Here is an 11576-nt window from a genome sequence, read left to right on the forward strand (position 1 = left end):
TAATTTTAAATTAAATTTAAAATTTAAAATCATTCAAATTGACGAAGGGATTGAAAATAAAAATAAGTAAATAAAAATCAATCATCAGTCACACTACCCACATTTTACATAAATGAACATGTGGCTACCATATTGGACAGCACAGAATACAGAACATTTCTGTCATCACAGAAAGTTCTGTTGGACAGCACTGATCTAAGTACATTAGGGCTCTGTATTTTACACTCCAATATTTTGTGCTGTGCTTACATAGCACTTATCAAACTAAATTATGAATTAATAATATCTGTCTTCTCTGTTAAATCTTAGGCCGCATGTAGACAGAAACCATGTCTGTTTTGTTTGCCATTGTATGCCAGTGCCTAAGACAGTACACGACAAACAATAAACACTAAATAGATATTTGTCAAATGACAAATGAATGAATGAAATTATCTTCTAATAGATACAAACATTCTATTTCTTGCAATTTTGCGTCCAGATTAGAACTATGATTAGTGGGTTTTTATGTAGGGGCAAATACTTTTTCAAGTTTCGGACCACTTTATGCCCCCTTTTTTTGCTGAGCATTTTATTTCCTTTCCTGAAACCAAAAGGACAACAGTATTGAGCTAGTGAAGATTTGGAAACCTAATACTTTGGTAATACTAAAACGTTGATGTTCAAAATATCCAAATGTGAAACACATGACTAAAAAAATACTTTGTATTGTTCTACCTAGTCATGATCAATGTAAACATGTGGGTATCAGTGATAACCAAAAAGATATACTTGCAATGAGTGAGAAATACTTCATTTATTTAGACTTATGATCATTACATTTTTGTTTTACATTTTAAGGTAGAAGAGAGGTTTAAAAGTGCAATTTTATTCTTTTATAAATTATGCAATAACATACTTTAAAAAGAATAAACAATAGAAAAGATAATTAAAATAACTCAAATGAATAAAAGTGGAATCAGAATAATCAATTAAAATTGCAGTTATCATGGCTAGTGATGGATTACATGTAGTTTGTTATATCAGAAATATTGGCACTTGGAAATCTTAATAGAGCTTTGAATTAGCAGCATGTATTGTTGCCCTACACTGTCTAGAGCAGAACTCTGACAATATCTGTTTTCATTTTCACTGGGATTTAGCTTTAGTTAATACATTCACATCAGCTTTGTCTGCCTCTCCAAGACTTTTTTCATGGCTCTCAACCAAGACATTGTCTTCCTTTTTTCGGGGCCTCTGGGAACCAGCATCTCTGGGAGCTAGAGGAGCTCCAAGGGCAACAAAATTGTGCACATCCTGCAGCTTCTTACGCAGCCATTCTACTCTCTCCATCGAGTTCAGATGTTTTCCCAGGTTATGCATAAGCTGTATTTCACTCACAGATCTCTTCCTGGGAAGAAGAGAAACAGAGAGGGCCACTTCCCATTAGCTCCCCACTTCGAAATGATAAAGTCAACATTAAAAATCCAATTCCAAGGCAAAACAGTACTTACTTAACAGATTTCCCATCCGATTTTGTAAGAAAACAAATTGCCAACATGACAATCATAACTTTAGCCATGTCTTTTGCAGGTATCATCTTCACTAAAAGGACAAGCAAAATGGAGGTATTTTAAAATATTTTTAATATTCCAAACTATAGTACACAGAATGCAATACTAACTAATTGGGTTGGTTTTCACGAGAAGCTTTTGGAATCAACCTCTTTATTTTATGGATACATTAGTATACATTATATATACACATAATTTAACTTATAAATTAGTTTTATGCTCCTAACTATCTTTTGGAGATTTCTTGTGCAAGTTTTATTTATTTATTTATTTATTTATTTTTATTTATTTTTTTAGAATGCAATTTTTTATTGTTTTCTAAATCTATTTGTACACTTAATATGCTAGTATTAATTTCACAAACAGTATAAAGAATGTACTCCAATGATATTAAGCGGCAACTACTCACCTGAAAAAGAAAACATTGTCTCTGAAATAATTCCTAATTATACAATTTTGCAAACTAATAAGCACTATAAATATTAAAATGTTAAGACTTCAATGTATAATGTCAATAACATCCTGCCTTTTTAAAATTGCTTAAAACATTTGTTAAAGATCATGCAAAATAAACACTGTATTAAAATGCTAGATTACACTCAAACATCAAGGCAATGAAACACAAAAGAGCAACTATTTAGCACAATGACTGGCCAAGTAAATAACTTAATCAGCATATTAATAAAAATCCACTGAGTGATAAACATCAAAAATGTAACACTGAATCTAGATAATCACGCATCTGCGATCTCACCATCTACCGTCCTAACTGTGACTTGGGGTAAACTGCCAGAATTCATTCTGCATAAATGAGCTATGTTAAAATGTTAGCAACATTTCATTGCATGATGACAGAGTACATTTCTAGTCCACACAGTACTTCAACGTGATCATTCTCTTAACTCAGCTAATAACTAATGGAAAGTACAGTTTTACAGTCATACCACTTATGTATATACATATATTTTACCCTTGCTTTGTTACATGTTTTTAAATTTTTTTTAAAAAAGTATTTCCTTTCTTATGATCCTCCCCCAGAATTAACATGCTGACTTAGGAAAAGACGAAGTAGATAAAGTCTATCCTAGTATAGAGAGCAATGGTTTACTTTTACCTAATTAAATATTTCCTTGTCATTTATCAATTGTCACTGACCTTTTTTATGTAATTATTTCCTCATTCACTCATCTATAAATATTTATTAGTGCCTGTTGTTACCCATGTCTCCTTGATTTTCCAGAAAAATAATTCATGTTTTTTTTTTCTTCTCATTGCTAAGCTCACTTAGAAAAATTAGGCACCATTTAAAAGACTTGGAGAACAGACCAGCGTGGCTTCTTGGGCACAGCTGGATGGTGCTGGAAGCCAGGCCTGGGATTTGGAGAGAAGAGTCTCCAACAGATAAACCCACGGAGGTCACCAGCCCTCCCTGCATCTACTCTCCTAACAGCTCAGGATGGCCCTGTTACACTACTGCCAGCCCTGGTGACTCGCTTTCTTAGCAATTTTTAAAGCCCTCTTCATTATGTACTTCCTACTTAAAATTCAGAACCTCTGTGATAAGCAATGCCTCTGTCATACAGAATGCTGGATCTCAGTTTACTGAGCCTCTCCCTGTAGTGTCACAGGCTGTGCACTCACCTAGATGAGCCCCTAAGAGCAGGGTTTGCTTCTGCTTCATCTAATGCCACATCTTCCCTCAAATGTGTGGTCACCAAATGTTCTGCAAAAAGGGTCTCTAGCTTTTTACTTTTCTTTTTGGCAAATTAAGCCCTTTAAAATACTTCTGACCTATCTTTATACTCAGATCTCACCTCATCTCAAGTTTTATGGGGTAATGCGCCAGTGAAAGGTACAGTGGTATTAGTGAGTTCTGAAGCTTCTAATTACATAGACAATAGAGGCTGGCTGGTGAGCCATGCTTCTCATGCTCCCTTCTGTCACACTGCAGAAATCTTAAGCTACAAGAGGAATGAAAGAGCCTATTTTTGAGAAATCCCCCCGCACTGCATTTTATGTTGATTATACCTAAATGTTTATAACTTGCTTGAAAATGCCTAATTTTCTTCATAGTGTAAATTGTTAACACTATTTACGTAGCAAATCCTTTTCTTAAGTAACCTTCATTTCAGGCATTGTAATAACCATAAATACCAAACTAATAGGTGCTAATCTAGAGATTTTCACTAAATTAATTCACATTTCTCCTAGCATTAAAAATAATGTGTCAAAGCATTTAAAAATCATCTGATTAATTACTTGTGATATGGATTTCGAGCTTTATCTCTGAATGGAATGCTTGTTTGTAGCTTATTTCTTCAACTTATTTTATTAACAATTATCTTTTAATATAACTTTTGTCTCTTTCCTCGTTTCACATCAGTATAGGATATTCTTGCCTTAATCTGCATTTCAGTACTTGCAAAGGCTGTTATTATAGAAGTGCTTTTCCTTAATGCTCAGTGTACTACCTTTTAACATACACATAGAGTAGTTATGTACTCCTATTTTACAGGGAAACTGCATCATTTAGAAATAGCATAGGAAATACTGTTTTCAGAATACAGCTGTCATTTATGTAAAGGAAATAAATATTTACTAGTCAAACTGGGCTTATCCAACTTTAGTATACAGATTGGGCTCTTTATGAGCCATAAAATAAATAATCTAGATAAGAATACTCTGCAGGAAAAACAGAATATTAACTCCACTTAATAAATTTATAAAGATTATTTAAATCAGAACTATTCATTCACCATCAACCTGTTTTATTTCAAAATTTTGACACCGATACTATTATATTAAAGCATAGCATGCCAAATTTTAATGATTTTTTGTTGTAATTTCAGATGAGGTTTTAAAAGGCAAGGTATCTCAGAAGACTTTAATCAAAAAGGATTTTGTGATTTGAGTAGCATTAATTTATTTTGTATGTGGCATTTTATATTAAACATAACTCAAACTTCTTAGCATTTTACCTTGAAGAAACAACATGGTATTTGTAGAAATGGTACACATTAAATAATAACTTGATTATCAAAATCTCATGAGATTCAGAAGTGAATTTTTAAGTTTACTTACCATACAATGTCTTAGAACAAGATCTTCGTTCAGGTATGTTAGTAGCTGATGCTGAGTAAACTAAAGACAACTGATGAATTGGACTGCAGACCCCTTAAATGGTGACTTTTATATATAGGTCTTCTGCTTACCAAGAGAGGCTCTTTTATTGTTACAGATGATGTCACTCCCAATTCTCTGGATCTCAACTATAGGTTCAAAGCAGCACATACACACACCCATTGGGCGGTGCACACTCTTCTTAAGTTTCAGATAATTGGATACTAAAAGGAAAACAGCATTTGGCTTGACAAGGGGCTTATGCAAAGACTTTTAACAAATACAGAATTATACCATCGAGAAAAATTCTATGTGGATTAATGAATCTGAATTTATACTGTAAAAAGACTGATTTCAAAGGTTTATGATAAAGTCATTATCTTACTTGAAAATAAAACCCAAAAATAAGTGTATTTGTTATAACCGTACTGTTGGTACAGTTTTTATGGTAATAAATCATAAATGTTAGGCTTACTTTACAAGCCATTTTCAACCAATCCATGTCACTTCTGGTCATCTTTCAAAAAACAGATATAGCCCTTTTCTTAAAGGAAGTGTTAAGAATAATTTGAGAAAATGCTCTTAGTACATAATTACTTTAAAAGCTTCAAAAGTGAAATTATTTTAAAATTTATTTAACTTATATTTTATTTGTGCATCTTAATCTATAATAATAACATTTGATAAGCACTAACTGCATGCCTAACTACATATATTATCCCACTAGATCTTCACAGCAGTCCTTTAAAGTTAGTACTTAAAGTACTAAAGTTAAGTGCTTATCCCCATTTTTACATGAGGAAACTTAGGCTTGGAAAGCAGAAAAGATGGAATTCAACAAAGGTCTTTATGACACCAGATTCTTACTACCTCAGTTTCTGCCTAGAAATACAGCCCTTCTTTGAACTCCAGTCTTCTTGACTTTAATTTGCAAAGTCATCTGAAAACACAGCAAAAGCTCTTTGCAACATTTTCCCCTAGGGGTTAGGTCTTTATTCTCATGTTCCCTAAGGGATGATGAGAGCCTGCTCCAAAACCTATTGGAGGCATGATGCTGCCACATGTCTGACTTCAAATATTCCTCCAGCAATATTTTCCTGGTCCACCTGTCAAAACACCCTGAATGTCTTTGATATATCTAGGACTCCTTTAGACAGCTTTGCCTTCCCACCAAAGATCCGGTGCCAGAGTGGGATCAGTTCTCTCAGCTCTGGTCCCATCCTGGCTTCATGTCATCCTTTTTCCTACTAGCCATTGTCAAGGTTTGACTCTACCTTAGGTAAGAGCCAGTACAAATTTGAATAGTAACCGTATGGAGTTTATAATGAGAGATATATACTAGTCCTGTCCTAGGAGATTCTCCACTCTGGGTTAACCTCACTTAGAGTGTTGCTCCAGGCTCCATTTTAGAAGCAGTAGAAACAAATGGGAACATACACTGAGGATATCAATCAGTTTGGTGAAAATGTTGAAAACTATAACATGAGAAGTAGTTGAATGAAACTAGAAAAGTCTGAGGAAAAAAAGACGGGATGACTTTATAGCTGTGTTTAATTATTTATAGGGTTACCATAAGGAAGAAGGAGTATTCTCTGTGGTTTAAGAAGGAAGGGCTGGGTTCATTGGGTTTAACTTGGACATTATAATTGTCAAAATAAGGAATCAAGTACCTTCTCAAATAGTGATTTCTCCATCACTGAGAATATTCAAGTAGAAGGTAGATGAGCATTTATCAGGCATACTATAGAGATTCATACATAGAAGAAAGTTGAACTAGATAACCAAGAGGTCTCTTTTAACTGTAAAAATCTGTTGTCTTGATCTTTTTAAAGACCTCTTCTGATGCAAACTCTACATGTGATGTTTGTGTGTCATTTTTCTGCTATACTCTGTTGAGAAGAAGAATTGGAAATACAGATGGTTTTTCTTTTTTCTTTGAGATAGGATCTCACTCTGTCACTCAGACTGGAGTGGTGCAGTGGTATGGACATGGCAGCCTCAACTTTCGGGGCTCAAGCAGTCCTTCCACCTCAGCCTTCTGAGTAGTGGGGGCTATAGGCACACAGCACCACAACCAGCTAATTTTTAAATTTTTGTGGAGGCAGAGTGTAGCTAAATTGCCCAGGCTGTCCTTGGCTCAAGCAGTCCTCCCACCTCTCGCTCCCAAAGTGCTGGGATTACAGGCATGAGCCACCACACCCAGCCACTAATGGATTTTTATTTTTTAACTTTTAAGTTCAGGGGTACATGTACAGGCCTGTTATATAGGTAAACTCATGTCGTGGAGGTTTATTGTACTAATTATATCATGACCCAGGTATTAAGCCTAGTGCCCATTAGTTATTTTTCCTGATCCTCCGCCTCCTTCCACTCTCCATCCTTCAGTAAGCCCCAGTGTGTGTGGTTCCCTTCTTTGTGTCCATGTGTTCTCATCTTTTAGCTCCCAATTATAAGTGAGACCATGAGATATTTGGTTTTCTGTTCCTATGTTAGTTTGCTAAGGATAGTGGCCTCTAGCTCCATCTTGTTCTTTTTTATGGCTGCCTAGTATTCCATGGTATGTAGGCACCACGTATTCTTTATCCAGTCTACCACTGTTGGGCATTTAGGTTGATTGCATGTCTTTGCTATTGTGAATAGTGCTATAATGAACATACGCATGCATATGTCTTTATTATAGAATGATTTATATTCCTTTGAGTATATACCCAGTAATGGGATTGCTGGATCAAATTGTAGTTTTGCTTTTAGTCTTTGAGGGATCGCCACACTGTTTTCCACAATTGTTGAACTAATTTACACTCCCACTAACAGTGTATAAATGTTCCTTTTTCTCCACAACCTCACCCATACCTGTTATTTTTTGGCTTTTTGATAACAGCCATTCTGACTGGTGTGAGATGGTGGCTCGTTATGGTTTTGATTTGCATTTCTCTGATGATCAGTGATGTTGAGCTTTTTTCCATACGCTTGTTGGCCACATGTATGTCTTATTTTGAAAAATGTCTGTTCATGTCCTTTACCCACTTTTTAATGGGGTTGTTTGTTTCTTGTAAATTTGTTTAATTTATAGATGTTGGATATTAGGCCTTTGTCAGATGCATAGTTTGCAAAAATTTTCTCCCATTCTGTAGGTTGTCTCTTTACTCTGTTGATAGTTTCTTTTGCTGTGCAGAAGCTCTTTAGTTTAATTATATCTCATTTGTTAATTTTTGCTTTCATTGCCATTGCTTTTGGCATCTTCTTCATGAAATCTTTGCTCATTCCTATGTCTATAACAGTATTGCCAATGTTGTCTTCCAGGGTTTTTATAGTTTCGGATCTTTAATCCATCTTGAGTTAATTTTTGTATATAGTGTAAGGAACAGGTCCAGTTTCAATCTTCTGCATACACAAATGGTTTTATAAACACATTTTTTGCATTGTTATTATAAAGCCATGCTTAATATTCTGATTTGGAGATTTTTCCCGCTTTGGGTAAGTTTAATGTAATTGACAGCCTTCTAGGAGTGATGCAATTATCACTTTCTTGTTCTTCTTTCTCTTACACTTATTTATAGAATAAATTGTCATACCAAGGCAACCACATTATTAAACTAGTTTTACAGAAAAATAAAGCAAATAGTTCAGACAGTGGTCACTCATTTGTTCACTCAAAAAAATGCGTTGAATACTATCTGCCAGGGGCTGTATTAATCACTGGATAATTGAGACATAATCAATGCCTTGAAATTTAACACATAATTATAATATAATGTGATAGGTATTATAATAGGGGTATGAACAAAGACTTATAAAAGCACAGAAGAGGAAGTGACAATTTCCCTAAAGTTGTTGGAAGCTGTTTTACTGAAAAGCTGAACTGTCCTGACAGGTGATTGTGTTTTCCATCAGAGAAGGTAAGAAAGGACAGAGGGAACTGCATGCGCACAGGCATGCAGGCAATGAAGACTGAATAGACGCAGTGGCTCACACTTGTAATCTCAGCACTTTGGGAGGCCAAGGCAAGGGGATTGCTTGAGTTTAGGAGTTTGAGACCAGCCTGGGCAACATAGCAAGACCTCATCTCTCCTAAAAGTTAAAAAAAAAATCAGCAGGATGTGGTGGTGCACACCTGTAGTCTCAGATACTCAGGAGGCTGAGATGGGAGGATCACCCAAACCTGGAAGATGGAGGCTGCAGTGAACTCTGATCATGCCACTGTACTCCAGCCTGGGCGACAGAGTGAGACCCTGTCTCAAAAAAAAAAAAAAAAAAAGACTGAATATTGAGTATATGCTTGTGGATGGAGAGGGAAAATGGGGAAATGGATGATGACTCCAAAGAAGTAAGATTTGGGTACAATTTTGGAAGATTATTGTGTGAATGCCAAGGAGTTTTGTCTTGCAGTCCTCTCTAAACTCTAAATGTGTGCATGAGTAATATTGTTGTGTCCTTCAAATTTTTCAAAGGACTACTTGACCTTCCCACAAAGCAGTAATATAGCTGCCAAGACTTGATATATAGTTTATCTGAACCATCACGTTCTGGACCTGCAGGTATTAGATAGAAGGAAATCACTTAGGAGGACAGGGTTAGGGGATATGTGGGCACAAGAGACTGATGACACCGTGACAGAGAAGAGCTGAGCACAGCTTTTTGCTTTGAAAACGTCAGCTTTTCTTAGCATTCTAAAGTACTGAAGCTAGGGTCAAACAATCTAATGTATTCCTCACATTTGGGAAGGACAAAATACCATGTGTTGTGCCCTGTTCCCTTATGGAAGGTTTAAGTTAAGACGGATACTTTTTCCTTCTGTTTGCTCAATAGGAATTAGTACAGCTTTGGGAATTTGACATCAACAAGCTTCCAGGGCTGAAAAATCCAGCTACATCTCTCTAATTCCATGTTTTGTGAACAGATTGGATAATTTCTACTCCCTTTTTTTAAAAAAAAAAAACAAATTTACTGAGGTTCAATTGATATACAAAGAACTGTTCATATTTAATGTGTACAATGTGATGAGTTTGGACATACATGTTATCCCTGTGATACCATCACCACAATTAAGGTAATAGACATAGCCAGCACTTCTCAAAGTTTCCTTGTCGTTTAGAAGAACACAACATGAGACCTACCTTCTTAAATTTTGAAGTTCACAATGCAGTATTATTAGGTATAAACACTATATTGTATAGCAGATCTCTAGAACTTATTCTGAATAGTGTCTATCTTAATGGTTGAGTCATTCTTTTGCTCCAAGCCCCTCTGTGCAATGAGTTACTGAGCTCCTTATTATTATTATTATTAATTTTTTTGAGACAAGGTCTCAATCTGTCACCCAGGCTGGAGTGCAGTGGTGTGATCTCAGCTCACTGCAACCTCTGCCTCCAAGGCTCAAGGGATCCTCCTACCTCAGCAGCCTGAGTAGCTGGGTCCACAGGAGCATGCCACCATGCCAAGCTAATTTTTGTATTTTTGGAAGAGACGGAGTTTCACCACATTGCCCAGGCTGGTCTCTGCCTCCTGGGGTCAAGTGATCCACTCGCCTCGGCCTCCCAAAGTGCTGAGATTACAGGCGTGAGCCACTGTACTCAGCCAACCAAGCTCCTTTTGATCTGTCAGAAAAAACTTTCCTCTCTGCTTCCTTTCACCAGCCCTAAACTTGTTTATAGTTAGAGGCAATGAACAAAATGCTTAAAGTGACTTAGCACATAATAAATGATTAATATTCCAAGTATTTATGATAGTATTCTGTTCCTTATTTTTCTTTCTCTAGAATTTTTATTGATGGACGCTGTGATTGTGGTTCTCTAATAGGCAGCATTTAGAAGGCCACTGATCTCTATATATTCATGTTATAAACTCTGGGATCCATTATATCTGAGTAGCTCCTCGAAGTTAAAATGTGTAGCCACATTCACAAATACAATATTACTTGTTGTTTTTTGTGTGTTCTGTCAGTGAACATCTAACCCTGCATGAGTTTTCAGCTTTCTACATGTTTATATGGATTGGGGGAGTGTTAAGATGATATGCAATGTTTCCACGATCAGAAAGAGGCATCTCTAGAGGCAGGGACTGAAGGAAATAGCGAGTTACTGGATGCCTGGGATGAGACTGTCTTTCTAAATACAGTAAGGAATGTCTCTGTCTTGTCACAGAGCAAACCTAGAGAGTCACTTATGGACTTATGGAAACCTTTAGATCTTTATTTAATTGAAAAGGTTTTAGTTGCCTGTGCAAAGTTCTCTGTTTCTTAAAAAAAGAGAGGGAAAGAAGTAGACACAATTGAGTCATCACTTTTTGAATCATAAGAAAGCCATAGCAATTTAATTGAGAAGTAAAGTCTCAAATTTTCTGTGGCCCTTTCCAGTGAAGTAACCAGACCACTAATATTATTATTATTATTATTATTGTTAACTTGTCACCCAAGCTAGACTGCAGGGTCATGAACATGAGCTAACTGTAACCTCAAACTTCTGGACTTAAGCAATCCTCCCACCTTAGCCTCTTAAGTCCTAGTAGCTAGCCTCCTAGCTACTAGTAAGCCTCCTAGCTACTCCTAAGCCTCCTAGTAGCTATGCTTGTGCTATCACATCCAGCTAATTTTTTTTGTAGGTACAGGGTCTCCCCATGTTGCCTGGGCTAGTCTTGAACTCCTGGCCTCACGTGATCCTCTTGCCTTGGCCTCCTAAAGTGCTTGGATTACAGGTGTGAGTCAATGCACCTGGCCCAACACTTTTGATTCTAAATATTCTCTTTTATTGTCCCATAAATGTAGTTATACTGGTTAGACCAAGTGTTTCAATTCAGGGTTCATACTCTATTAGTTCCTGCCAGAAAAAAGAATAGTATAAAAAATTTTTTGAAGTTTAGATAATATGGTCTCCTCAGTTAATGTGGATCTTACTCTGGATTACA

At 36.1% G+C, this 11576-nt stretch overlaps 1 protein-coding gene across 2 annotated transcripts, besides 21 other annotated features; it reads right to left on the reverse strand.

The window, feature by feature from the left end:
• Positions 778-4905, reverse strand: PTH (parathyroid hormone). 2 transcript variants are annotated; one of them, NM_001316352.2, is made up of 3 exons: positions 4766-4905; positions 1494-1584; positions 778-1390 (listed from the first exon to the last, which is right to left on the reverse strand). In NM_001316352.2, exons 1-3 carry the CDS (start codon positions 4854-4856, stop codon positions 1129-1131), a joined length of 444 nt encoding a protein of 147 aa, NP_001303281.1. In that variant the 5' UTR covers positions 4857-4905; the 3' UTR covers positions 778-1128. The 2 variants fall into 2 exon arrangements, with proteins under 2 accessions (NP_001303281.1, NP_000306.1); NM_000315.4 differs by lacking the exon at positions 4766-4905 and adding an exon at positions 4635-4721.
• Positions 4654-5404: a promoter, noted in NCBI's record as "BglII fragment". NCBI's record gives its function as "downregulated by vitamin D and calcium" and the evidence as "EXISTENCE:reporter gene assay evidence [ECO:0000049][PMID:3785180]".
• Positions 4654-5727: a biological region, named in NCBI's record as "PTH promoter region". NCBI's record gives its function as "regulatory_interactions: LOC106736470 | PTH".
• Positions 4666-5725: a promoter, noted in NCBI's record as "-1006 promoter fragment". NCBI's record gives the evidence for it as "EXISTENCE:reporter gene assay evidence [ECO:0000049][PMID:20558332]".
• Positions 4718-4880: a promoter, noted in NCBI's record as "AflII/PstI fragment". NCBI's record gives its function as "contains cAMP response element; activated by cAMP" and the evidence as "EXISTENCE:reporter gene assay evidence [ECO:0000049][PMID:1977134]".
• Positions 4786-4797: a response element, noted in NCBI's record as "nVDRE". NCBI's record gives its function as "mediates downregulation by vitamin D" and the evidence as "EXISTENCE:reporter gene assay evidence [ECO:0000049][PMID:17095575]".
• Positions 4786-4797: a protein binding site, noted in NCBI's record as "nVDRE". NCBI's record gives its function as "important for downregulation in response to vitamin D" and the evidence as "EXISTENCE:protein binding evidence [ECO:0000024][PMID:17095575]".
• Positions 4817-4839: a protein binding site, noted in NCBI's record as "VDRE". NCBI's record gives its function as "competes with Vdr/Rxr association at adjacent site; positive regulation of promoter activity" and the evidence as "EXISTENCE:protein binding evidence [ECO:0000024][PMID:15297458]".
• Positions 4821-4845: a protein binding site, noted in NCBI's record as "p15 probe for PTH DRE". NCBI's record gives its function as "downregulates promoter activity" and the evidence as "EXISTENCE:protein binding evidence [ECO:0000024][PMID:1325645]".
• Positions 4850-4868: a protein binding site. NCBI's record gives its function as "positive regulation of promoter activity" and the evidence as "EXISTENCE:protein binding evidence [ECO:0000024][PMID:15001549]".
• Positions 4850-4868: a protein binding site. NCBI's record gives its function as "positive regulation of promoter activity" and the evidence as "EXISTENCE:protein binding evidence [ECO:0000024][PMID:15001549]".
• Positions 5095-5116: an enhancer, noted in NCBI's record as "site B". NCBI's record gives its function as "promotes activity of basal promoter" and the evidence as "EXISTENCE:reporter gene assay evidence [ECO:0000049][PMID:20558332]".
• Positions 5095-5116: a protein binding site, noted in NCBI's record as "site B". NCBI's record gives its function as "positive regulation of promoter activity" and the evidence as "EXISTENCE:protein binding evidence [ECO:0000024][PMID:20558332]".
• Positions 5707-5727: a protein binding site, noted in NCBI's record as "site A". NCBI's record gives the evidence for it as "EXISTENCE:protein binding evidence [ECO:0000024][PMID:20558332]".
• Positions 8041-9206: a silencer, noted in NCBI's record as "AvaII fragment". NCBI's record gives its function as "negative regulator of PTH promoter" and the evidence as "EXISTENCE:reporter gene assay evidence [ECO:0000049][PMID:1939213]".
• Positions 8042-8142: a silencer, noted in NCBI's record as "Element 1 (pcW10 fragment)". NCBI's record gives the evidence for it as "EXISTENCE:reporter gene assay evidence [ECO:0000049][PMID:1939213]".
• Positions 8055-8064: a response element, noted in NCBI's record as "nCARE-A or nCARE1". NCBI's record gives its function as "negative calcium response element" and the evidence as "EXISTENCE:reporter gene assay evidence [ECO:0000049][PMID:7961715]".
• Positions 8056-8073: a protein binding site, noted in NCBI's record as "oligo A". NCBI's record gives its function as "calcium-mediated suppression of expression" and the evidence as "EXISTENCE:protein binding evidence [ECO:0000024][PMID:7961715, PMID:8621488]".
• Positions 8632-8913: a mobile genetic element.
• Positions 8876-8993: a silencer, noted in NCBI's record as "Element 2 (pcR9 fragment)". NCBI's record gives the evidence for it as "EXISTENCE:reporter gene assay evidence [ECO:0000049][PMID:1939213]".
• Positions 8894-8917: a protein binding site, noted in NCBI's record as "oligo B". NCBI's record gives the evidence for it as "EXISTENCE:protein binding evidence [ECO:0000024][PMID:7961715]".
• Positions 8899-8913: a response element, noted in NCBI's record as "nCaRE-B or nCARE2". NCBI's record gives its function as "negative calcium response element" and the evidence as "EXISTENCE:reporter gene assay evidence [ECO:0000049][PMID:7961715]".

Source organism: Homo sapiens, chromosome 11, assembly GCF_000001405.40.
Source record: "Homo sapiens chromosome 11, GRCh38.p14 Primary Assembly".
Classification (NCBI taxonomy): Eukaryota; Metazoa; Chordata; class Mammalia; order Primates; family Hominidae; genus Homo; species Homo sapiens.

Bases quoted from the DNA above. Each gene is read 5' to 3' on its own strand.
- PTH (NM_001316352.2), bottom strand. From the start codon at position 4,856: ATGGGTGTGTGTATGTGCTGCTTTGAACCTATAGTTGAGATCCAGAGA. The intron at 1,585-4,765 runs GTAAGCAGAAGA...TTGTCCTTTTAG, and splicing joins CAATAAAAGAGCCTCTCTTG to TGAAGATGATACCTGCAAAA. The intron at 1,391-1,493 runs GTAAGTACTGTT...TCTTCTTCCCAG, and splicing joins TCGGATGGGAAATCTGTTAA to GAAGAGATCTGTGAGTGAAA.